At 38.0% G+C, this 26,683-nt stretch overlaps 1 protein-coding gene across 3 annotated transcripts in view, besides 2 other annotated features; it reads left to right on the top strand.

Moving 5' to 3' along the window:
• The window catches only part of RRM2B (ribonucleotide reductase regulatory TP53 inducible subunit M2B), a 34,461-nt gene extending 17,196 nt beyond the window's left edge, over positions 1-17,265 (top strand). For 2 of the 3 annotated variants that reach the window (NM_001172478.2, NM_015713.5), the window contains 4 exons: positions 2,819-2,952; positions 7,608-7,712; positions 8,877-8,990; positions 13,481-17,264. In NM_001172478.2, the coding sequence (NP_001165949.1) occupies positions 2,819-2,952; positions 7,608-7,712; positions 8,877-8,990; positions 13,481-13,633 (506 nt within the window). In that variant the 3' untranslated portion in view covers positions 13,634-17,264. Of the gene's footprint in view, positions 1-2,818; positions 2,953-7,607; positions 7,713-8,876; positions 8,991-13,480 lie in introns of all 3 variants that reach the window. The other variant, NM_001172477.1, reaches the window with a different exon arrangement.
• Positions 24,208-24,367: an enhancer, noted in NCBI's record as "active region_27746". NCBI's record gives its function as "activates an Ori minimal core promoter by ATAC-STARR-seq in GM12878 lymphoblastoid cells {active_cell/tissue: GM12878}" and the evidence as "EXISTENCE:reporter gene assay evidence [ECO:0000049][PMID:35858748]".
• Positions 24,548-24,687: an enhancer, noted in NCBI's record as "active region_27745". NCBI's record gives its function as "activates an Ori minimal core promoter by ATAC-STARR-seq in GM12878 lymphoblastoid cells {active_cell/tissue: GM12878}" and the evidence as "EXISTENCE:reporter gene assay evidence [ECO:0000049][PMID:35858748]".

Here is a 26,683-nt window from a genome sequence, read left to right as displayed (position 1 = left end):
GGACAACCTAGAAATAGAGAACACAGAGAAGGCTGGCAGTCACCATGTAACTACATGAGGACTCCAGCTAGATTCTCCATATTGCTTAATCTCAAGGGAAACTCCATTTCAGGTTCTAATATAGGGTCTCAGAGGAAAGAACATGTTCTAAAATTGTGGAGGGGAGTTGAATGGGTGTAGAGTGGAACAGGGAAAGAGGAAAGAGTGAAGAGTGCATTGGTGGCTCTCCTTTTTGGGAGTGGAGCTAAAAGACAGTAACATGGAAATATTGCCTTGCTTTGCTGCACACTGCTACTTTCCTTTAACCAGCTGAGGAAGTGCTGTTTCATGAACTGATTTGGCTACCTGCACCATTAGTAGCTCTAAGTTGAAAAGGGCAGCTCTTTCACCTGGCTTAGGGTTTTGCCTAACATTTTTGGTGACCTTCTTAGTGCCTTTTGCACTAAGATCCAGCGTAGCAACTATTCTTTCCTTATATCCAGACTCTTATAAGCCTTTATTTTTAGCTAAAGAGAAACTAAGAATATTTCTTTAAAAATTATTAGCTTGGAAGTTTATGTTATAAGGAGATTCAATTCCTATAGAGCAAAAATTTTCCTAATTATATATCTGCATAGATTTTTAAAAATTGAGACATCCTGTTTAATTTTTAAAATATCTTTAAATAACTTCAAAACAAATATACAGATTAAAACTTAATATATGTAATGAAATTTCATTTCAAGCCTCAAAAAATATTAGCTACACAATCTTAGTACATTGCCATCATAGAGGTCAGCTGTATCTTAAAAATGTATCCGACTTTCCCCTCTCTAAAATGAATCATGAGGCCTTTACATTCACTATAGTTTTTAGGAGAAATGTTCCGGAACCCTCTTTTTATTTCACATATGTTCTCAAAAAATTGTAAAATGTACCACTTATAATCCTTTAATCTTCTCCAAAAAAGAATAGCCTTCTATAACTATGTTATGATTTTCATTCTTTAGTATTCACATTAATGTATAGCATGGTTACAATACCAATTTTCCACTAGGCACAGTGGCTTGTGCCTATAATCCCAGCTACTTGTGAGGCTGAGATGAGAGGATGGCTTGAGCCAGAAGTTCAAACCAGCCAGGGCAACGTAGAGAGACCTTAGCTCTAAAGAAATAAAAAAATTAGCCAGGCATGGTGACGCACGCCTGTAGTCCCAGCTACGTCAGAGGCTAAGGTGGGAGCATTGTTTGAGCCCAGGAGTTTGAGACTGTTTGAATTATTAATGCACCATTGCACTACAGCCTGGGTGACAAGAGCAAGACCCCATACTGTCTCTAACAAAAATTAAAATATCAATTTTTCTTTTATTCACGTTTGTATTTAATTATAGTCTACTTTCCTGACAGATAATTATCCTTATGATGTTACCTTAATGTCAATTAAAAACGTATCAATAAGTTATCTTAATAGTAAGATAAAAGATACAGTAAGTTATATGTTAAACTAATGACAAGCCTCATCTTAAGAATAGTGATGATGATGATGATTTTTGAGATGGGCTCACTCTGTCGCCCAGCTGGAGTGCAGTGGTGTGATCATAGCGCACTGCAGCCTTGACCTCCTGGGCTCAAGCATTCCTCCCACATCAACCTCCCAGGTAGCTGTGACTACAGGTGCGCACCACCACACCCAGCTAATTTTTAAATTTTTTGTAGAGATGGGGTTTTGCTATGTTGCCCAGGCTGGTCTCTAACTCCTGCATTCAAGTGATCCTCCTTCCTCGGTCTACCAAAGTGCTGGTATTACAGATGTGAGCCACTGCAGCACTTGGCCTAGAATGGATTTTAATGTCTTCTCTCATCTAGTACTTATATAGGTTCCATTGAGTCAGTTCAGGACTTGTTTATTAAGTGACTTCTTTGGGTGTGGTCCTGTGACATGTACTGAGGTATAAACCGTGATGTCACCTATGAAAACGGTTTGTAGTGCACTCAAGCACTCAGCTGCCTGTATCTCACCGTCTTATAGACCAAACCTTTTTCCTTAGACATATATAAATACTTTTCTCAGGCATATGCAGTGTGGTGACATAAGCACCTTGTGAATGACCTTTTGGGTTACAGCTCTGATCATCCTGCATAATGTTACAGATATGATGCCACTGTAGACAATTTATTAATAGGAGATGGATTTCTACGAAGTCCTTGCCTAACAATGAGTAACCTTTAAAATTGGCCATTTTGTATTTAGCAGAAAACAGTATTTTTGCTTATGTTATGGGGACATTTTATCTAATAGATATATTTATTATCCTCAGTTGGGTTTATCTATTTTTTTTAAATTGCAGATACACGCCAGTGGTTTTTGAAATGTTTGCAGATGGTCTGTAAGATACCATAGGTTTCTAAAAATATAAACTTAAGCAACCTCTCCTCCTTTCAGAGGAAGACACTTGTCATAAAGTCTACCTTCTACTCTCCAGTACACACACACACATATGTATACATACTGCACACATGTGCATGTACCTGCACTCATAGTCATGTGTGGTGCACACGTAAATCACCTCTTGTTTTGAGTATGGAAGGTCCTTCTTTGTCCAACGCCAAGACCTACAGAAGTCCATCGTCTGACAGAGGATTTGAAGGAGGCATACCTTTCTGCTCCAGTAGGTAGAGGTGGCGCATTTTCTCCTATGGAGATCTTTGGCCATGGCACTAACTTGTGTATTTTGTTTCTTTGCAAACAGTTGTGGTATTTATTGTTATATATGTGTATATATATATATGCAAATGTTTGCAGTATATTTCAAAAATTGAAACGATTTTATGTCTCCCAGGGGAAAGAGTGGTGGCCTTTGCTGCTGTAGAAGGAGTTTTCTTCTCAGGATCTTTTGCTGCTATATTCTGGCTAAAGAAGAGAGGTCTTATGCCAGGACTCACTTTTTCCAATGAACTCATCAGCAGAGATGAAGTAAGGAATGGAATGTTTTTCTAGTTATATTTGTATTCATATTTGATGTTCATCTATTTTTCTTTTCCATCTTTTTTTTTTTTTTTTTGAGACAGGATCTCACTCTGTCACCCAGGCTGGCATACAGTGGCACGATCATGGCTTGCTGCAGCCTCGACTTCCCTGGGCTCAAGCATTCCTCCCATCTCAGCCTCCATTGTTGCTGGGACAGCAGGCATATACCACTACACCTGGCCTAATTTTGGTATCTTTAGTTTTTTTAGAGACAGGGCTTCACCACGTTGCCCAGGCTGGTCTTGAACTCCTGGCCTCAAGCGATCTGCCTGCCTCAGCCTTCCAAAGTGCTGGGATTACAGGCATGAATTACTGTACCCAGCCTATTTATTTTTCTTTCTCCTGAAAAATGCTGTGGTGACATGAGTATCCTGGTAATTAAAATAGGAAGTCACGTCATCTTGCTTTTAAGACACTGCATTTTCCTCCTGTGTCTCTTACCATTTCTCCTCGGTCTCCTGGTCATTCTTAATATCAGTGTCCTCCTAGGTTCCCGCACTGGCCTTGCTCCTTCACTATATATGCCCTCCTGGCTGATCTTGTTTACTGTAATGGAATCAGCTACCATCTAAATGCTCATAACTCCGAAAACCTACCCTTTGTCCCAGATATTCTTTCCTAAGTGCCAAACCCATGTATGCTAGTGCATGTTAGACATTTTCTCCTTTAAGTTCCCCCAGGTATCTCAAACCTGTTATTTCAGAAATCAAACTCATCATCTTTCTCCAAAAATTTGTTGTTCCTTCTGTTTTTCCTATTTCATTGAGTGTCTCTATCCTTCTTTTCCAATCATCTAATTTAAATTTAGGAATCATTTTAGATTGCTTCTTCTTTTTCAGCCACATCCGATCAGTAAGTAAGCCTGGTCTCCCTCTGCCTGCTATACCCTTTCTACCCTTTCCATCTTTCTTACCACCCCTTTTTTTTTTTTTAAACCTTTTTGGATTACCTTCTCAGAAGAGACATCTCAAAACTTTCCTGATCAATTAGGTGAAACTGGCCACTCTTTCCTTTATGTATCCATTTGAAACCTGAACCTGTCCATGTCTTGGAGTCCATAGCATGTATTGTACTTCTTCTTTCTCTCTTCTGCTAGACTTTAAGCTCCTTAGTGCAGGGACTTTGTTTTATTTATCTTTCTGTTCTCAATGTTTTGGCTATTATAGCCATTCAGTTAACATTTATTGCCTACACTAATCCTTAACTTCTCTGAACCTTGGTTTCTTCAACTATAAAACTTAACCGTTTTGTTAGAATGCAATGAAATAGTGTATGTGAAAGTATTTTTTTAAATGCCATAAAATGCTTCATATAATTACTTTTTGCTTTTTCATGGCTTTAAATTTTTAATAACTTTTATTAGAAATGTCATATAGGATTGTTATAGAGAATTGAGAGAATAAAAAATTAATCTCAACACAGAGAGAACTACATTTACTGTTTTGTTGAAGTATTTCTTTATAGACTTTTTTTCTACATTTAATTCTATTTAGATATATAAACATATTTTAATCATTCATATATTTAGGAGTTGAGATGTTCTTTTTCCACTTGGCAAAATACTGCAATCATTTTTCTGTGGCATTAAGCACCTTTTGAAAATAGTAGTTTTGTTAAATGTATAATCTAATGAATGAATCATTTATTTGACTTTTATAATTAGAAATTTAGATTATTTCCAGGTTTTTTGTTTTACTATAGTATAAAATGAATACCTTTACATATATATAAGCTTTGTCCTCCCTTTATATTATTTTCCTAAGCTTGATCACAAAAAGTAGAATTACTAAGTTATAAAGCATTCATACATACTTACTTGCAGATTTTTTTTCCAGTAATTTTATAACAATTTTCAGCCCCATCTAGCAATGTATGAACATTTTCTACCATACTCTCACCAGAATTTAGATTAATTTGCTAAATGTTTGGCAAATTTGATAGGGTTAATTGGTATCTCATTATTGGTTTTATTTGCATTGTTTAATTATTACTTAGATTGAACACTTTTTTCATAATGATATTAGTGATTTGTATTTTTTCTGTAGTTGCCTACTTTTATCTTTTGCCTTTATTACTGGTGCAATATTAACATTTTTGTTATTTAACTCTGAGTGCTCTCACTATTTTAAGGTTATTTCTTCAGTAGTCTATTATACTTAAAGGAAGGGGTCATGCTTGCTTGTTCATTGGTTTATTCCCAATGTACAGTGACTGATTGGGTCCTTTCAACAAGTACACCTTTATAGCATTTGTTATATTTATAGCACAAATATAATATAAAATACAAATTTGCTTATATTTATTTCACATATTTTCCCAATTTATCCTTTGCTTTTTAATTTTTGTTCTTTTAACATACAAAACCTTAAATTTTATGTAATCCACTTCCAGAGATAAATTAATTACACATTTTTTTTCTTGGTTTTTTAACCTTTAAGTCTGTAATGCAATTGGAATTTGTAAAGTAGGATTTAGCATAAATATAATAAAGAATAAGTTAGAATTTAATTTTATTTTAAACACTCTTGGGAAGTTTTTCCAATTTGCCTTGTTAAGTAATCCATCATCCTTTCTTCATTGACTTGCGCTGTCTTCTTTATTATCTATTAAGGTTTTATTAGACTAAAATCGGTTTCATGGCTATTTTTACTTCCTTATTGACCTATCAGATTTTATTCTATAACAAACCATTTTAATTATTATAGTTTCATATATTTTAATAATTTGTAGGATAAATATCGAAACTTTTCTTTTGAAAGTGTTCTTACAAGATTCTGTCCGTTTATTCTATTCTTTTTTTTTTTTTTTTTTTTTTGAGACAGGGTCTTTCTCTGTCACCCAGGCTGAGTGCAAGTGGTATGATCCTGGCTCACTGTAGCTTTGACCTCCTGGGCTCAAGCAGTCCTCCCACCTCAGCCTCCTTAAGTAGCTGGAACTACATGCATGTACCACCACATCCAGTTAATTAAAAAAGTTTTGTAGACGCAGGGTCTCACTGTGTTGCCCAGGCTGGTCTGGAACTCCTGGGTTCAAGTGATTTCCCAACTTGGCCTCCCAAAGTGCTGGGATTACAGGCATGAGCCCCCGTGCCCAGCCTTCCAGATTAACTTTTGAATTAAAAACAATCCCATTTAGGTACTTGACCTCTGTGCCCGCTTGGGACTCTTTGAAGTGTACTTTTCTTTCTTTTCTGCTCTAAAGCCTTTTAAAATAAATTACAAACACACACACACCAATTCCATTGGGATTTTGATTGGTATTGCTTTCTGTAATAAGTTACCTGTCAGTTTTCATCAACACTTTAACATCTTTCAGCCTTGATGGTAATTTCTTCTTTCTTCCTTTTTTTTTTTTGAAACAGTCTCACTGTCACCCAGGCTGGAGTGCAGTGGCGTGATCTCAGCTCACTGCAGCCTTGACCTCCCAGGTTCAAGCAATCTTCCTGCTTCAGCCTCCTGAGTAGCTGGGACTACAGGTGTGCACCATGCCTGACTAATTTTTGTATTTTTTGCAGAGATGGGGTTTTGCCAGGTTGCCCAGGCTGGTCTCGAATTCCTGAACTCAAGGAATCTGCCCACCTTAGCCTCCCAAAGTGCTGTATTACAGACATGAGCCACCATGCCCAGCCTGGGAATTCCATCTTTCTATATCCGACCTCTCTCTTTTTTCATGTTGAATTTTTGAAATTTTCTTTTTTTTTTTTTTTTTTTTTTTAATATTTAGCTCTATACTATCTATTCTGTGTTTTGGAGTCCTGATTATTGTAGGTTGACTCTCCTTCACCTATTCTCCAATTACTTAAGATTCTATTGCATTTGTATAACCATACTCGGGTATTTCACAAGTTTATTTTCATTTTTGGTTGAGTTATCTGTAAGATCATATCTGCTTTGTATGGCTTCAGGCGATATTCATCATTGTTCAGTTTCCATTTTCTTATTTATTTATTGGTATTTTTTATTTACTTCTATTTATTTATTTATTTATTTATTTTTTATTTTTTTTTGTAGAGATTGGGTTTTGCCATGTTGCCCAGGCTGGTCTTGAACTCCTGGACTCAAGCAGTCTGCCCACCTTGACCTCCCAAAGTGCTGAGATTACAGGCATGAGCCACCGAGCCCCACCTCAGTTTCCATTTTCATTAGAACTGAATTCATTTTTATCTTGAGCCTTTCTTATTTAATTATAAATGTATTTTTGAAATCTGAGTTTCATCTGTTATTTAAATACTAATTATTTTTCAATCATTCCTTAATTATTTTTGAAATTTAAAAATTAATGAATTTTCATTTCAGGCTTTCTTGCTTTATTTTCCTTTCCAAAATGCTTTTATTTGCAGATTTTGTTTGTTCATAAATTAATTTTTCTATAATGTTGATGAACTAAGATTTGCTGGCATTGAAAATTTTTATTATAGGTTATTGTATTGGCATTTAATGAGATTTGAAAGAAGGAAGTTCCTAGTCCTATTAACCCCTCTTCCATTTTCCAGAAGTTCTGTGTTATATTCCTAGAACCACTTTATACAATGCTTGACCCATCACCATATGCAAATAGCTGATTAAAAGTTATTTGACAATGACATTTTTCTTCCCTTTTAGGGACTTCACTGTGACTTTGCTTGCCTGATGTTCCAATACTTAGTAAATAAGCCTTCAGAAGAAAGGGTCAGGGAGATCATTGTTGATGCTGTCAAAATTGAGCAGGTAAACCGGGAAGTTTGTGTAATTAGCACATCTCTCTTTCTCTGATGTTTGTACCACTATTATATTGACTCATAAGAAATTCTGTAGGTCAATAAAAATACCAGCAATTTTATTCTGGTCAGCCTGACAATACCAATACATGATATATTACAATTATTATGTCAGTTTACAATTTGCTTTAGTAAGTCAGTCTTTATTATATATTAAGGTTTTATGTATACTAAAACCTGTTTCAGGGCTATTTTTCTGTCTTATTGATCTCTGTCAAATTTTATGCCATGATCAGCTAATTATAGTAGCTTTTTTTTTTACATTTTTAGTGACTGGAGAACAGTGATGATTTTTTATTTGTTTTGTATTTTTAATAACGTAGCAAGGTACCTAGCTTGAAGCATACACAAATTTTTATAGAATGAATAAGTAAGTTAATGAAAAGTAACAATTAAGTTAGGGTATGTACGGATTTCTTACTAGAAAGAGCTAGATGCGCTACTTAGGATGTGTTTTTATCATTCTGAAATTGCTTTTGTTTTGGTAACACTGCGTAGTTTAACAGGCGTAGTTTGTATATTGAAAGAGGAAAAAGGCATAACAGGTACTTTGGTATCTTTAATCATTTTGAGAACTAAATCCAAGTGGTTAATATATTTTTATTTTTCCTCTATTAACGCTTTACCACTATATAGTCTTTCAGTATGGTTGGAGCTATTTTATCTCCCAACCCCCAAATCTGTTTGTTTCTTTTTTCTCATTTTCTTTGTTAATTGAGTTTTTCTTTCTTTCCCAGCTCCCTTCCATAGTCATGTTCTTCATGATGATCATCTTTGAATCTTTTTCCAGATATTTTAGAACAAAGTATCTTTTTTTTCTATTGAGAAAGCATACGAATCCGAGTCTTATATCTGCTACTTCAAGAAATCCAGTAATTTGGTAGTTCGTTTCCATTTATTTTGGCTCTTCGAAAACATGAAAAAATGTGAATAGTTAATACCCCAAATGTTTTTAAATATACGGACATCATTTGCCACATTGAAAGAATTTATCCTAATATACTTTCCTTGGACAAAATCAGTCTTAGAAATAAAACGAAAGTCCTCTTTCTATTTGGAAAATACATATTTATAGTTTTGTTTGTACTTTATTCTGTTTTTGTTTTCATCCCAGGAGTTTTTAACAGAAGCCTTGCCAGTTGGCCTCATTGGAATGAATTGCATTTTGATGAAACAGTACATTGAGTTTGTAGCTGACAGATTACTTGTGGAACTTGGATTCTCAAAGGTAATGTGTTTAAAAATGTGTTACTACTAGTTAAAATATTATAGGAAAGCAAGGACCCTAAAGTATAATTTACTGAAAGCATTTGTAACATACTATTCTATTTTTTAAATGTCAATGACAGAGACTTGTTTTGTATGAACAAGGTTTTGCAAAATCCTTTGAAATTTAAAATTAATAACTGAAGTAGGAGGCTGGTAAAATATTAGAACTAATAAGCTCAATAAATTATTTTGCAATAATTGTAGCTGTATATTTAATAGGATTATTTTCAAGGAGTTAGGTTTAATATGCATATATATATTCACCCTCATATAAATCGCCATGTGTCTATATTGTGGTTTGGGAGTTAATACTTTTAAATAGGGAATAGTTATTAGGAAGACATTAACTGTCACAATATAACTCTTTGAACAGAGTTATTCAAGTTATTTTTGTCATTTATCAGAGATAATGTACCTGAATTTCATCAGTGCGGTTTTCCCATTACTTAAGACATGGAGCCTGCAGCCACACTATCTGGGTTTGAATCCTGGTTCCACCACTTTCTAGCTGTGTGACCTTTGGCAGGTTGCTTAACTATCTCAGTTTCCTCATCTATAAATTAGAGATAGTAATAATATTTACTACAAAGGATTGTTGATGAGTTGATACACTTAAAGCACTTAAAATAATATTAGACACATAATAAACTCACACTAGATGGTCACTTTGTACTTAAGTGAAACACAGAAATTCACTATGTACTATACCATGGTAATTAGAAATACAGATTTTGATTTCTTGTCATGAAAATGTAAGTTCAAATTATCTTTAATGAGAATCCTTATGAAATCTATGATGCTGTGGTAATCATTACCTATCTTGCTAATGTTGTATTAGCAGATATAGCAGAATTATATTCTGATAACCACCCAGGTACTTAATGAAAAAGTCAAGTGGGGCGTAGGTTTTTTTGGTAAGATAAACTACATTTTAACATTTTAGTTGCAAGATCCTCTCTGTGTTTACTAATTAATGAGAAATCAAGATTATAACTATATTAATATAATCTCTTAAACTTATAAACTATGTATATTAAAAGAAATTGTGTTTGTTCATAACTTTTACCAATATTTTTGTTATTAGAAAATGAATTTGCTTATTTAAGCCTTACAGTGAATTCGCTATTCTTTAACCCATTACCATATCCTCACATCCACACGTTCATGTTCTGCTGCTTATTAGAAAACTGCTGACCCTTGGGTCTAATTTTCCTTTTGGGAACTTGCTAACTGTAGGTATGTAAAACATGCCACCTCCTGCAGGAGAAGGTCTAAACACAATGTAAAACTTTGTTTTTCCACAGGCTTCAAAATATCTGAGTAAATTCTAAAAAGCAGAAATTATAGAGGCCTTAGATTTTTAATGCAATGAAAGTAGAAACTGATTTAAAAATTGCCAAAAAGCTTAATCTACTTAGAGATTAAAAATATATCCGTTAGGCCAGGTGCGGTGGCTCACACCTCTAATCCCAGAACTCTGGGAGGCTGAGGTGGAAGAATCACTTGAGTCTAGGAGTTTGAGACCAGCCTAGGCAACATGGCGAAATCCTACAAAAAATTAGCCAGGCCTGGTGGCATGCCTGTAGTCCCAGTTACTTGGGAAGCTGAGCTGGGAGGATCACTTGAGCCTGGGAGGCAGAGGTTGCAGTGAGCTGAGATTGTGCCACGGCACTCCAGCCTGAGCAACAGAGTGAGACCCTTTCTCTCTCGCTCTCTCTCTCTCTCTCTCTGCATATACATGTATCTCCTTTAAAATGAGATTTAAAATGAAAATAAAAATTAATTGAAAATATAAAGTAAATGACAATATGATTACTATGTATCAAAACTTGTAGGAGCTGGGCCTTGTGGCTGACTCCTATAATCCCAGCACTTCGGAGGCCAAGGCAGGAGGATTGCTCGACCCCAGGAGTTCCACACTAGTTTCAGCAATATAGCAAGACCCTATCTCTACAAATAAAAATAATAATAAGGCTGGGCACAGTGGCTCATGCCTGTAATCCCAAAATTTTGGGAAGCTGAGGCAGGTGGATCACCTGAGGTCAGGAGTTCAAGACCAGCCTGGCCAACATGGTGAAACCCTGTCTCTACTAAAAATACAACAATTAGCTGGGCATGGTGGTGGGTGCCTGTAATCCTAGCTACTCGGGAGGCTGAGGCGAGAGAATCGCTTGAACCCAGGAGGCAGAGGTTGCAGTGAGCCGAGATTGTGCCATTGCACTCCAGCCTGGGCAAAAAGACCGAAACTCTGTGTCAAAAAAAAAACCCACCAAAAACAAGCCACTTAATTTAGTTTGTTTTTTTGGTCTTGGTTACTTTGTCCATGCCATGAATGACTTAGATCTAATTTTTTGAAAAGTCTTCAGTTCTAACATCTAGTGAGTCTATGGCTATTGGTTCAGTGCCCTTTCACTGTATCTTGCTGTATATTACAGCTCCAATATTCCCTCACTTTTTACACACAATTTCTGATGGAGAATTTCATAGAATTTCACTCAGCCACACCCAGCATATGAGTTTTTGGAAAAAAGATACATAAATATTTAAAGCTTTATTTAAAGATTAAGTCACATAGCATGCAATTCACCCATTTAAAATGTACAATTCAATAGTTTTTAGTGTAGTCACAGAGTTGTACAACCATCATAACAACCTATTTTAGAACATTTTTATCACCCCATAAAGAAACTGTATCCCTATTAGCAGTCAGTCACTCCTCTTTCCTCCCCTTACCCACCTTGCCTTAGGCAACCACTAATCTAATTTTTGTGTCTGTAGATTTGCCTATTCTGCGTCTGTAGATTTGCCTATTCTGCATATTCTATTTCATACAAATGGAATCATATAATATGTGGCCTTTTGTGGTTCTCTTCTTTCCTTAGTGTGTTTTCATGGTGCATTCATGTTGTAGCATGTATCAGTGCTTTATTCCTTTATATGACCAAATAAATAATATTCCACTGTATGGATATACCAAATTTTATTTATCCATTCGATGGACATTTAAGTTGTTTCCTCTTTTGATCTATTGTGAATAATGCTACTATGAACGTTCATTTACACATTTTTGTGTGGACATGTTTTCATATCTCTTAAGTATACACCTAGGAGTGAAATTGCTGGATCATATGGTAACTCCATGTTTAATCATTAGAAGAACTACCAGACTGTTTTCTAAAGCAGCTGCACAATTTTATATTCCCACCCTGTATGAGGGTTCTAATTTCTCCACATCCGCACCAACACTTATTACCTGTTTTTTAAAAAATTATAGCCATCCGAGTAGGTGGGAAGTGGTATCTCATTGTGATCTTGATTTGCATGTCTCTAATGGATAAGGATGCTGAGCATCTTTTCATTTTGTATATCTTCTTTAAAGAAGTATCAGTTTGTCTATTTAGACACTCTGCCCATATTTAAAATTGGGTTACTTGAATATATGTTTATCTGTAGTGTTCATATTTTTTGCTGGGATACTCCTAAATTGAGAAATCCTCTTTTGTTACTCCTTGTGAATCACTGAAATATCCCACAGTTTCCATCAAGCTGTATCTCCAAGTCTGCTTCTTGAATTCTTTTTTTTTTGAAATGGAGTCTTACTCTGTTGCCCAGGCTACAGTGCAATGGCATGATCTTGGCTCACTGCAACCTCTGCCTCTCAGGTTCAAGCAATTCTCCTGCCTCAGCCTCTTGAGTAGCTTGGATTACAGGCATCTGCTACCACGCCCAGCTAATTTTTGTACTTTTAGTAGAGACAGGGTTTCACCATGTCAGTCAGGCTGGTCTCAAACTCCTGACTTCAGGTGATCCCACCTACCTCGGCCTCCCAAAGTGCTGAGATTACAGGCATGAGCCACCATGCTCGGCCTTGTTTCTTGAATTCTGAAGCAGTAAAAAAGCTTCTTGTTAGCATAGTCCCCCTTTTTGTTTGGAGACATCTAGTCACTATGGATAACATTTATTCTGTCTTCCCTGATCATGTTCCCTTAATGACAATTTGTTGATTATCTGTTCTCTTATAAACTAAGAAACATACTTAGAACCACAGTGGATTGTTGCTAATTTAACATTTTATAGTATCATGTATGTCTGACTAATAGTAATATCTATGAAAAATGCTCATGGTGTATTGGATATCTCAAGCTGTGAGAACATTTTCTATTGGTTAGTATTAAATATTTCAATTCCTGAAATAGTTGTGTTTTTTTTTCTATTTATTAGAATACCAGAGATGCTAGTACAGTTTCTTGAGGAGATTAGTGGTTGATCTTGGGTCATCTTAAAATTTGTCAGCCTTGAGTACCTCCAGGGTCTTAGGGGAATGATATGATCTTGTAGCTGACTAGATAGGTTTTGAGAAACCTGACCTCTGTTTTGGTCATCTTTGCTCTTATTGTGGATGTAATTTGATCTCTTCAGAATGTCTAATAATATTTCTTTCCTTTTTAGGTTTTTCAGGCAGAAAATCCTTTTGATTTTATGGAAAACATTTCTTTAGAAGGAAAAACAAATTTCTTTGAGAAACGAGTTTCAGAGTATCAGCGTTTTGCAGTTATGGCAGAAACCACAGATAACGTCTTCACCTTGGATGCAGATTTTTAAAAAACCTCTCGTTTTAAAACTCTATAAACTTGTCATTGGTAAATAGTAGTCTATTTTCCTCTGCTTAAAAAAAATTTTAAGTATATCCTTTAAAGGACTGGGGGTTTGCTCAAAAGGAAATCCAAAACCTATTCTAAACAATTTGCATTTATATAATTTTCCTGTTTAACAACAAGAGTGTGACCTAAATGCTTTTGTCTTGTCACTGAAATAAAAGATGGCATTATGTGGTTAAGAGCATGGGGCGAGGGGTCAGACATGAGTCTAAGGTTCTGCCCTTACTCCAGTGTGTGACCCTTGGCAAGTCAGTTAATCTTGGTAAACCTCGGTGTACTTATCTTTAAAATGGGAGTAATAGTAGGTCCTAAATTCATAGAGTGGATATTAGGATTAGGATGCAAAAATAAATGCTTAACCAACACTACTACTGTTAGCACCACTACTAATTATCATTCATTGATAATATTAATTGCAATGATGTTGTAATAAAATACTCTCATTTCCTTAAAATAATTGTGATTCTAGGTCCTAGGATCTAGAATTAGATCTTTGTATTTTTAATGCTTAGGGGAAGAATATAAGTATCTCCTTAAAAAGAACATAATTCTCATTCACGCAAGAATAAGTTCTTTGAATTCCTTAGTATGTAGTGAAGAAAATTTAGTTGTTAGTTGCTTTGGGAAGCCTACTTATGGAGTGGAAACCAGGAGGTTATCATGGTAGTTGACCTTATAAGAAAAATGATTCTTCTTCAGAAATTAAAAACATAACTATTGCCAGATTTAGCTCTGGAATGTTTAGAATCAGGCTAGAATAGCATTTTCCAAAGAATATTCTAAGAGCTATTAGCTCCTCTAGATATTTTTTTGGGGGAAAAAGGGGATTCTGTGGTCAGATGAGTTTGGGAAATGCTGAACACTTCATTCTTCTTTAGCAAGTACAGTCAGTACATCAAAGACTGAGCAGTTCAGTGGTACATAAATTTATCTCGCCCTGCATATTCCCAACATACTTAACACAGATGTTTTTTACCTGTTAACATCTCACCCAGCTAGTGTTCCTCAGAACAAAGATTGGAAAAAGCTGGCCGAGAACCATTTATACATAGAGGAAGGGCTTATGGACTGAGAAAGGGAGAACATGGTAGGGATTATTGAATCATTTCAAATTTATACCAGCCTGAATAGTGTACCAGCAATTGACTTAGGCTGTGTTTCTTTATGGTTTTAAAACTCTTGAGCTGTTATAAGAGATAGTTCTTTTAATGTGACTATGCAACATGATAGCCAATGGTGAGGGAAAAGGAGGTTTCTCTAGAAGAGTCTGATGAAAGGCCGGGAACCAAGGTTTTTGAGAAGTCTGCCCCTATTTATTTTTAGTAAGTATCAAGAGGTAGCCTGAGCCTAGTTAGAGTTAGACCTGTCTTTGGATGAAGAAGTCTTAATACTGAAATACTGAATTTTTAATACATTATTATTTGGTATTCTGTATACCCCTTCAAGCAGTTGTTTCCCATTCCCAACAAACTGTACTTTATACAATTCTGGATGCTAAAACTTAGAGATTTTCTCTTTGCATAAATTTTGGCTCCATTCTTTCCATAACAATCTAATCAAAACTGGGAGTTCTCAAGTGAATGCAAAAGGAGCAGGCCATAACTTTATTTGTTAGATACACTGTCAGAAACTTGAGATCTTTTGGCCTATGATAATACCATTAATTTTTGCATTGCTTCAGTTTGCCAAGTGTTTTTACATCATCTCATTTGATCTCAAAACAGCTTGACAGAGCAACTGTTATTGAAATATTACAGATGGAAAGAATGAGGCTCAGGGAAGTTAAATGACTTGGCCAAGATCTGCTCATCGTCACTGTCTGTACAGTATTTTTTTTTAGAGGTTGTAATGTCTCAGATTTAGTCCTTTACCATCTATGTTGATTTGCTTTTGTCTATTTCCTCATTAATTGAATATACTTTAAATATATATATTAAAGTATCAAAATATAGAGAGACATTTGAACTGTATTCAGGTAATATGTTTAAAGATATTTATATATTGCCATACAAAAACTTAACATTTAAAACTGATAATATCTGTAATGACATCAGAATGAAAGAAAAAAAATTGTACAGTGTATATTCCTTTGTTTTGAATCCAAATCTTTTTCATAGGTAATGACAGATGCCTTAATGTGAAGCTTATTTATAATAGCAATAAACCTAACTGGATTTGGATGAAGAAGTCTTAATACTGACATACTGGATTTTTAATGCACTGGTTTGTTATTTGGTATTCTATCTCTTTTTCCAGGCCTCCAGGTTGCACATTTATTTATTATGTTCAATACTTTGGTTCTTAGTTCTTAAAGAATCAAGAAGTTGTGTAATCTTTTAAAAATATTATCTTGCAGATAAAGAAAAAAATTAAGAGTGTGTTTACAACTGTTTTCTCTTTTTTACAGTACATGTATTTAAATCATTGCTATAATAAAGTTAAGTTCATTAGGAATATAAAAACTTGCAGTTCTATGATAGATTGCATTTATTAAAAATGTTTCATTGTATCACATAGAAATATGGCCAGGAAGGACTTGAGAAGACAGTTTGATCCATTGCTTTTAGACAGGACTGGGTTTTGCTGTCCAATTATATACAATAATAGTTTTTCTTACAACTAAGCTGGCCCCAGCCTTGTCTTGATATTAATACATGAAATTTTTATAATTGTCTCATTGTCTCATTTAGAAACATCCATATTTTTCTGCTTTTTCTATTGCCATTTTTTATTTGTGCATGAATTGATTATTGAGAAAATGTAGCAGTTTGCATATTTAAAAATTAATCATTTTGCATTTTACATTTAAATATGCTAACATCACTGTCATAGAATTCCCAAATTTCATTTGTAGATACTGAACTAAGGGCTAATGTCAGGAGCTGATTTTTAATGATAAAGCTGCAGATGGGCTAAATAAAAGCCAAATTAATCCTACAATCAGGTATTATGTTTTTAAACCAAGTTGAGTGAATTGGTAGTGGACTTGGGAAATCTTCCCCAGCAGAATCTGGATGAATGGCACAGAATTGAAATCTCTTTGTTTCCCACCATTTCCCTTTAAGTGCTCTGCTCCTTTGTAAAAAGTTAAAGATTTGAAAGAGAATCTCATATTCCCGAGGCATTAGGAAGAAAGGATTTAATCCCTTCAATTTGGGGCTTAATCTTGTTTAAAAAAATGTAAGTGAAGATGGAAGGCTGGAGAGAATGATTGCTTTTTGTACAGTTAAATAAGGTCACAATATTCTTACATACTTTGTTTTACAACTGTGTTTTCATTTTTTCAAATGTCTGGCCATTTAGCAAAGTTATTTACTATTTACTGTGTACATAGAAAGCTTTATTATGTGTGGTGTATCTAAATTTTTTTTGCTGAAATACATTATGGTCAATCAAGCCAAGCCTGCATGTACAGAATTTGTTTTTTTTTCAAATAAATTAGTTGTTTTCTTATTTTTTTGGCTTAGTATGTTGAAATAAACTATGGTATCTTCATCATTTTGTACATTTCCTTTTTGAGGAAGGTTTCTTTATAAGTGCAAGGGCTACCCTAATAAAGGAATGTATATACTTACTATTTGTGTCTGCAGATAAATACATACTTGTTTGTTCAACTATCGCCCCAACCATAGTTTTTACATTAAATGAGACTCCCAGTTCTCTCACCTATCTTTCTCCCAATCCATAAGCCTCTCTTCATGTCTTTGTTTCCAGCTGAGATTCCACAAACATCATATTACTAGCAGTAGCACTCATACCAGTACCCTCAACTCTGTCCCTTATCTGCTTTTTACCATACATAGAAAAATTTAGAAAAATCCCCAAGTCTGTTTTGAATGAAACAACTTAGTTTTTCCAGTATTTGCACCCCAGCAGCCAAATGCTGCTAGAGAAGAAGTCATACAACAAGGCAATTGGATTCTCTACGTATTCATGATTACCCTATCTCAGCACTATCTGGTAATCCTACTACAATTTCCTGGTAAACTTGACCTCCACTGTGCACAATTGCTTTTTCACACCTCCTCTCTCTACCTCTACCCCCGTTTCCCAAAGAGGTGACCATATATTTTACTCTGTGGACTTTGCACACATAGAGATATTCTCAGAGTTAGTAGAAAAATTTGACGATATAAGAGCCCCAAATCTAGAACCTAAGAAGTTAACAGTAGATATGAATTCCTATGTGTGATTTCTGCTGTGGAGTCATTACAATCGGAGTGATTGAAAATATCTGGGACTAACAGCCATTTAATTCTGGGGACTGCTGCTCTCATTCCCAACCATGCGGTTCTCCCAGGGCTGCCAATACGCTAGTATGCACTGAATGTGTCTGGGCGCAGGCTTAAGCATGTGATCCAGACTGGGCCAGGTCCTTACCTAGGGTTTTCCTAATTGAAACTGAAGAAAGAGAAGCACTTTTATTCTAAAGACAAGCTAGAGAGAGTCCTAGTTCTAAACTCCTCTGAGGTCCAACTGTATTCTTTGCATAGTTTCATTTTCAAGGTAACAAATGCCACTTTCGGCTTAAGGTAGGTCAAATTAGGTTTCTTGATTTTCAACCAAAGGGATTCTAGTTAAAACAGAAATTGATCCCTGGAAGAAAAAAAAAGTACATGGAAATAATCGGTATTTATGTGAGTATCGGGCTCAGCAAGAAACAGTTGGCAATTCAAGTTAGGGTAATTCAAAAGAAGTTTGGCAACAGGACAATTTAGAAAGTTATGGACAGGAAACCATAGGAAATAGTGTAGTACATGGGGCTACCAATTAATTACAGGGCTGTTACCACCCCTGCTTAACTCCTCCCTTAAGCTTGAGGGAGCAGTTAAACCAGAGGGAGAGAATTATGAATAAGATGTGATCTTCATTTAGAGCGAGACAGCAAGCCTAAGGCAACTTCGCTGAGAAGGAGCCAGAAAATAAATACTCTCACCTTGTTCCTCTTGCCTCCTATCTCCTTCAGTGGCTCCCCATTAGCCAAAACCAACTAGGAGCAAGAGGGCAAGGGAGCTTGATGCCGTCCTTACAGATCAGCCTCCAGGCGTAGGGTGGAAAATGGATCTGGACGACATATAGAAGATGTGTCACAAAGAGTGTTGGAAATTATTGGTACTTTCCTCAAAGAATTACAAGAAAGAGATGAGCTCAGGAAAGAATTAGTGAGTTTGTAAGAAAAACCAAAAGGAAATCAGACTCAAAAAATTAAGTACCTTGCAGGCTGAAAAAGCAGGCTGATTGTAAACCCCCAAAATAAGAGTTGGGATTGAGAAAAATTCTTTTTTTTTTTTGAGACAGAGTCTCACTCCGTTGCCAGGCTGGAGTGCAGTGGCGCGATCTCGGCTCACTGCAACCTCCACCTCCCGGATTCAAGCAATTCTCCTGCCTCAGCCTCCCGAGTAGCTGGGACTACAGGCGTTCGCCACCATGCCCAGTGAATTTTTGTATTTTTAGTACAGATGGGGTTTCACCATGTTGGTCAGGATGGTCTCTATCTCTTGACCTCATGATCCGCCCAACTCGGCCTCCTAAAGTGCTGGGATAACAGGCGTGAGCCACCGTGCCCAACTGAGAAAAAATCTTGAGATAAGAATTCATCAAGACAATCTTGGCAAAGGTAAGAAGAGGGGTGTGAGAAGGTAATGTAAGCCTCCTGAGAAGGTGGGATGATGGAAAGCACAGGTGGAGGGCTTGACCTCAGACACTTCCTCTATTGTAGCAGGAGGGAAGCTAGGGAAGGTGGATGGATGGTGATGGGGTATGTCTGTAGTTTAGTGAAGAGACATTGTAAGCTTGTTGTTTGTTGACTTAATTTCTCTGTGAAAGAGATGATAAGGTCACCTCCTTGGGAAGTGGGGGTAGGGGCAGCGAGGGGAGGTGTGAAGAAGCAATTGTGGAGGATGGAGAGCCTAGTAGATTCAGTTTGCCTTAGTGTATGGTTTTTCTCTAGCAGCATTTGCTGCTAGGGTACAAATATGTAAAAACTGGATTGTTGCATTCACAATGGGTTTTTTCCTGGATTTTTCTATGTATGGTAAAATGTATGTATGTATGGTAAAATGCAGGTGAGGAACAGAGTTAAGGCTATTGATAGGAATGCTACTACTAGTAATATGATGGACTCCGGAATCTTAGCTGGATAGAGAGACGTGAAGAGAAGAGGTTCATGGATTGGGAGAAAGTAGATGAGTGAGAGAACTTGGGGGTCTTGATTAAGTCTAAGAACTGTGGTGGGGGGAGTAGGTGAACAAGTGCTCTGGAAGGGGAGGAGATTGTGGTCAGAGTGAGGTGCTAGAATTGGTGATTCAGAACATAGTAAGTGTGGGAGAAGGAGGCTGGGGTTTGTTGCTGGGGAAGTGGGTGGGCTCATTGGTGATGAGAACCTCAGGGAGCTGAGAGTCCAGGGTTTTGCATCTTGGGTGGATCCTGAGAGCCAAGTGTTTAACTCTTCAGTGAAAGAGAGGTACTGTCAGGACAAGATGAGGAGTAGGAGAGGGAGGTATAGCTGAGTTGTGAGTCTTAAAAGAGCAGGGTTGTAACAAAATAATGTGGTGTCCATGGTCTGGAGGTGTCAGTGGGGATCAAAGAGGACCCCAGCTCAACTTTCCCCACATACCTGAGAGGTCCATGGGGTGTGAGAAAATAAAAGCTTTCTTTCCAAAGGCGACATGGGAAGAGTTCCCAGGGCAATGCCCTGTTTCAGGTAACATAAGGCCCGCAGAGGAAGGCACCAACTGACTGATTTTGGAGAAGGGGTTACCAAAGGCTCAGGGCCAGCATTTGGGAGGGATAGACAAGTGAGGCTGGGTCAGGAATGGGGCCATGTACAGCACTATCAGGACTACGGTGAGGCGACCGTAGATAGCTGGGGGTGGTACTGACTTGTTAAAACTGGCTGAGTTGAGGTGCAGTGAAGATCCACCATGTGAAGGAAAGAGTTGTCCTGGTTTTATGGGACCTTGCTAGGTGATGTGTCTATGGCAGGATAGCACTCATTGTACATCTGGGCTTTCTGCATCCTGTGCCAACTCTCACAACCACATCTCCTGTTCTCTGATCATTTCTCCAGCTTAGCATGTTTACACATCATAGAAAGAAGGGGTGAGAAACATTCTCCTGTCGCCTACTCAATTGTCTGAGTAATGGTCAAAGGCCATGTTCTTTATAGTCTCTCATCAATAATGATAATGTCCAAGTTCTGACAGTAAAAGTGTAAGCTTCACTGTATCTTGGAAGATTTATTTCTCAGGAAATTAATAAATATTTATGCATACTTTAGAGTTTACAAGGTGATTTTGCAGTCATACCATTGCAATAATTTCATTGGCTCACCAATTTTATGAGAAATTGCTGTCATAATAATATCATTATTATTATGATAACAATGATATTTGGGACTTGAAGCTCAGAGAAGTTAAGTTCCTGTCCAAAGTCACACAACTAGTAAGGGGTAGAGGCATGACCCCAACCCAGGCATCATGGTTTAAATCGCATCATCTTTTCACTGAGTGCACCCAAATTTCTATTGCTAGCTGGTGGAAGTCAAGATGATTTTTTGGTGGGATACGATCCCTTTGAGCTACACACCCTCCATAACACACTCCATTGGCAGGTGTCAATTTAGAGCTTCATTTGTCCGTCTCAAGGTCATGCGGCATGGCTTGCTGAGAATTGTGTTTGAGCATCACTTCATGACTGGAATGGCAATAATGTTTGAAGACATTGGGACTGCAAGGGCAGTTGATACTTGTTTTTTAATTACATCTGGAAAATCTTCTTTGAAAAGTTTAGTTTGTTTGTTTGTTTGTTTTTGAGATGGAGTCTTGCTCTTTCGTCCAGTCTGGAGTGCAGTGGTGTGATCTCGGCTCACTGATCCCGGCTCTCTGCTTCCCAGGTTCAAGTGATTCTCCTGCCTCAGCCTCCCAAGTAGCTGGGATTACAGGCACATGCCACCATGCCCGGCTAATTTTTGTATTTGTAGTAGAGACACGTAGAGACAGGGTTTCACCATGTTGGCCAGGCTGGTCTCGAACTCCTGACCTCAAGTGATCTGCCCACCTCGGCCTCCCAAAGTGCTGCAGTTACAGGTGTGAGCCACCACGCCTGATCCTGAATAGTTTTTTTTTTTTAAGTAAAATAATTTAAAAACGTTAAGAAAAGAAATAGTACAGGTGAAACTCACAATGGCATGTCCGGCCAGTGGCTGCATATGACAAATTTTGGAAACCTGAGAACACATCACGTGGTCTACTGTGTAAAATGTTAGATGCTGCTCAAAAAATTTAGAGGAGTTTTCCAAGAAGTCTTGCCCAGAACTTAGGGTAATAAATTGGTGGCAAATAAAGATATGCTTGCTTCAATTTATTTAAATTCCAGACTGATATGTTTCGGATTTGTGGACCCGCCCGAATCTCATGTTGAATTGTAATCCCCAGTGTTAGAGGAGGGGCCTATTGGGAGGTGATTGGATCAAGGGGGCCAACTTCCGCCTTGCTGTTCTCATGATAGTGAGTGAGTTCTCACGAGATCTGATCGTTTAAAAGTGTGTAGCACTTCCCACTTTGCTCTCTTCCTCCTACTCCGGCCATGTGAGATATGCCTGCTTTCCCTTCACCTTCTGCTGTGATTGAAAGTTTCCTGAGGCCTCCCAAGCCATGCTACCTGTACGGCCTGAGGAACCGTGAGTCAGTTAAGCCTCTTTTCTTTATAAATTAACAAGTCTCAGTTTCTTTATAGCAGTGCGAGAACGGACTAATACACAGACCATAGGTAGCACCTGTTTCTAATTCCTGCTGTCTGGTGGTTTGGATCTGTTGGAGCCAAAAGTCTCAGAGAACTTGGACTGCCCTTCATACAGTTCTCCAAGAGACAGAGTCTAACCAGCTAAAGGCAACATCCAGATACATCTCTGAGGAAAGAGACTGGTAAAAAATTATTCCAAGCATATCTTTTGTGTGTGATAAAATTCATCATCTACTCATTTCCAGGGACTCAGCTTTGTCAATGGGCACCAGAGTTCAACATAGGAAGTTTTTCTCCACCTCCAGATTTTTCCCTGCTCCTACATCCTTTCCTGGCTAGTCTCTGTGTGCTCATGGCTCTCTGTACTTATGACCGCTGTGGCACATGGTATACTGAAATTGTAACTGAGCCGCTTTAAGGTAGGGACCATGCTCTTTACGTTTTTATTGTCCTGCATTACTTGTAGCAGGTGCTCAGTATTTCTGCAATGAATGAATGGATGAGGTGACAATGATAATTAGCTGAAACAAGAAGCCTGGTGTCATGTAATCAAAATAAGCTGGTGGTTAGAATCCATCATTTATAGAGCACATGTAACTCAGATTCTTACATATGTTATCTCATTTAGTGCTCTTAACAATCCTATAGGGAAAGTATTTTTTTCCTCCTTCCCTCCACAAATATTTATTGTCTTCTAAGTGCCAGGCACTGTGTTAGGTAATGGAGATAAAACCGTGGACAAGACAGACACAATGTCTGCCCTCTGAGTGGGGTCAACACATAAATGAGAAAAGGAAATAAAACATTTCTCTCATTTTCAAGATGAGTTTCAGAGAGGTTCTGCTCCTTGTTTAAAGTGATACAGATAGATCCAGATTTCTGTCCCAGTTCTAATTGATACCAAAGCTTATGCTTTCCCCAGAATCCCCCAGTCACCTCTAATTGGCAGAGAGTTCCAACCCATCTCAAAGGGCTGGTGGCCTGGGATGGGGGTGGGGGTGGTGAGAGCTGGTAGCTGCAGGAGTGATCTGGCCCCAGGGGAGAAGCCAGCAGATGTGAGGGTCAGACGCTGCAGCAGCTGGGAGGCAACACTATTGCAGTCAGTGAGGAATTTAGTGAGCAGGGCTGATGGGAGAATTTAGCAAACCTAATTGCATCTAATTCTCCAAGAGGGAAGAGTAGCTTTAGCGTCTTGCCAGCTGCTACCAATGTAGAGCTCAGAGTTAGTAGCCCCCATGTGCCCTGCGTGGAGTGGGGAGAAAGCCATTCTAAAGGGCCAGGGCTGAGCACATATATCTTCTGTGACCCAGGTAACTCACTGGCAACCCATAGACGGTGCCTCGAGATGTGGAACCCTGTGCTGTGAGGTGTGGAAGAGCACAGGCTTTACAGCCAAACTGCTGGGGTTCAAATCCTGGCTTTCCACTTGCTGGCTGGGTGACTTTGGCAAATCAGTTGTCTTTGTGCCCGGAGTTAATTATCTGTGAACTGGGAAGAACAGAAGTGTGGACTTCTTGTGTTGTATAAATATGCGGCAAAAGGCGGGGCAGATGAGGGGACAGGAGACACTGTGCCAAGTCCCTTTCCTCACCAGACAGCCCCAGAGCCATGACCTGGCTGCTCCCCTGGTCCCCATTCCCCATCTCTGGCCTTTGCCTTCCTGTGGGTAGCACCTGCTTTTGAAAATGACAGAAATGTCTTGCTCGAGGGCTTGTTTCCTGCTTTCCTCATGGTGGAGCTCTTGAACCACTGGTTTCTCAGATCAGAGCCCGCTCCTTCACGGAGGGAACTGAAGATGCAGATTTTCAAGACGGAAGATTCTGTTTCCAGTGGAGCTTGGTGTTCGGTAGGAGAGATACCTTTGGACACGGAAGATATATGTGTTCAGCCCTGGCCTTTTAGAATGGCAAACTCACAGCAGGGGCCCTTGGAGGAATTTTCCCCTGACTGACTGTACAAAGATGAAAGTCTAGGGGATGATATCAAAGGGAAACTCTCATTTTGGTACCAACTGAAAGAGGAAGAGCCTCTTCCCATAAACGGATCCCAAGCAGTTATGAAACAACCGACAAAACCACACATCTTTTCGAAGTATCAGGTGGCTTGGACTAGTCACGAATACCTGTGACTTTGATATTTGCTAATCTACGAGTTGGGTGGAGAGGGGAGGGTCAGAAATGTTAGACAGCAGTAATCCTCCAGCCTATTCTGAGAAGAGCTGGAGACAGAGCAGGATGCACTAGCGCCTGTCTGTTGTCCCAGAATGGGTCACATGAGGTCCTTTGGCCCTGGGTATGTGGAGTCGTCCTTCTCAGTGTGAGGAGGGCAGTATCTCTGGTCAGGACAAGATGCAAGTGTCTGCACAATCAGGTCTGGAGAGCAGGTTTCCTGGGAGAGAGGGGGTCATGAGATGATGCTGCATCCTATGAAACCTAAATCTATCTTAACCCAGGTAACTCACTGGCAACCCACAGACAGTGCCTTGAGATGCGGGACTCTGCACTGTGAGATGTGGAAGAGCACAGGCTTTAGAGCCAAACTGCTGGGGTTCAAATCCTGGCTTTCCACTTGCTGGCTGGGTGACTTTGGCAAATCGGTTGTCTTTGTGCCTGGAGTTCATTGTCTGTGAAATGGGAAGAACAGTAGTGTGGACTTCTTGTATTGTATAAATATGTGGAACACTTCAAATAGCACCCAGCACAGAGTAAGCACTCAATAATTGAAGCTATTATCTCAAAGCTTCTATTTAGTACTAAAATTTCAACTCTATGCTGGAACATTTCCATTAGCTTAGAGGGACCTTAAAATTAAGAAATCTTCTAAGGCCACGCTAATGGCTTCCTCCTATATCACCTTTAACAATTTCTTCATTGTATAGGTTTTCAGTTCCATCTTGCAAACTGGCTGTGCACATTTTTAGCATAAATTACTAAGTGTTCTTAGTATTTAGCATTGTAGTTGGCTGGGAAATATATTCCTGTGTTTCCTTAACAAATAAGATAGCTTTAATCTGCTGACAGCATTAGGAGCAATTGACATTCCGTTTATCTTAATTATCTGTGTAGGTTTAACATCATTTGTCGCTGTTATCATGAACATTTTATTTTAAAGCTAATTAACAAATCACAAGCCCTAATAAGGAACAATTCGTATTTCATTCTACAAATGGCAAAGTCAAATAACTTTAGCAGTGCAGTATGTCACTGCTCAGAAAAGTCCCCGGTCCCAGTAGATCTCATCCTGCTGTCCCCTCAACTGGATTGATAGCTTGAGGGTGCAGACTTGCTGCCCCTCTGTCTTTAAAGCATCTCCTTGCAATGAGTAGAATTCAAACTGGTTATTGTTTGCAATACAGAGCTCAGTTTGAGACTAGGCCCTACCCATGGATTTGGGCATGGTTCAGTATGTGGAGAAAACTGCAACGGTGGCTCAACCAAAGTTTCTATGCATAGTTTCTCCTCAGAGAGAATCAACTCTGGGGAAGGAGACAGAACTGAGGTGGGTGTACCCTAAGTGATGGGATGGGGCAAAGATTGTGAATGGAGCATGGATGCCATTATACTAACCTTCCCAGGTAGAACTGAAGGTAGAGCTTCAAAGAGTAGTTGCACAAAATCTTGTCTGCCGGGGTACAAAGCATAAAGAGGGTAACTCAAAGGAAAGAGGGTCATTCTTTTCTCCAGACCAACTCTGTAATTGACCTCAGTGCCTGGCAGAGCAGGATGACATAGTAGTAGTGCATGTGTGTGTGTGTATATATACATATATACACATATATGTACACATACCTATAACTTTGTACATGTCCATGACTTTTCCCTGGGGTAAGTTGGGTCAGAGGAATACAGAATTTTGAAGCTGCCCCCTGTGTGGGTGTATATATACACACACATACATATACACACACACACACACATATACACATATATACACACATATATGTACATATGTGTGTGTATATACATATATGTACATATGTGTGTGTATATACACATATGTACGTGTGTGTGTGTATATATATACACACACATATATATATACGCACACATACACAGGAGTTTTTTTCAATATTGGAAGCTTTCTTTTTACTAAAACTGTAGGTATATTCTAAAACCTTTTCTTTGGCCCAATGGGAAGAATTTTTATTTTTATTTTTTTGGCCATGCATTTATTTATCTCCATATCAGATACTCTTAGCTATCTACTAAAGCCATTCCAAGCCCTTACCCACTTCCAATGATAGAAGTTGGGA

The sequence above is a fragment of the Homo sapiens genome, chromosome 8 (genome assembly GCF_000001405.40).
Source record: "Homo sapiens chromosome 8, GRCh38.p14 Primary Assembly".
Taxonomy (NCBI): Eukaryota; Metazoa; Chordata; class Mammalia; order Primates; family Hominidae; genus Homo; species Homo sapiens.
The sequence above is the reverse complement of the archived record's forward strand: the minus strand, read 5'-3'. Positions and strand labels throughout refer to the sequence as shown.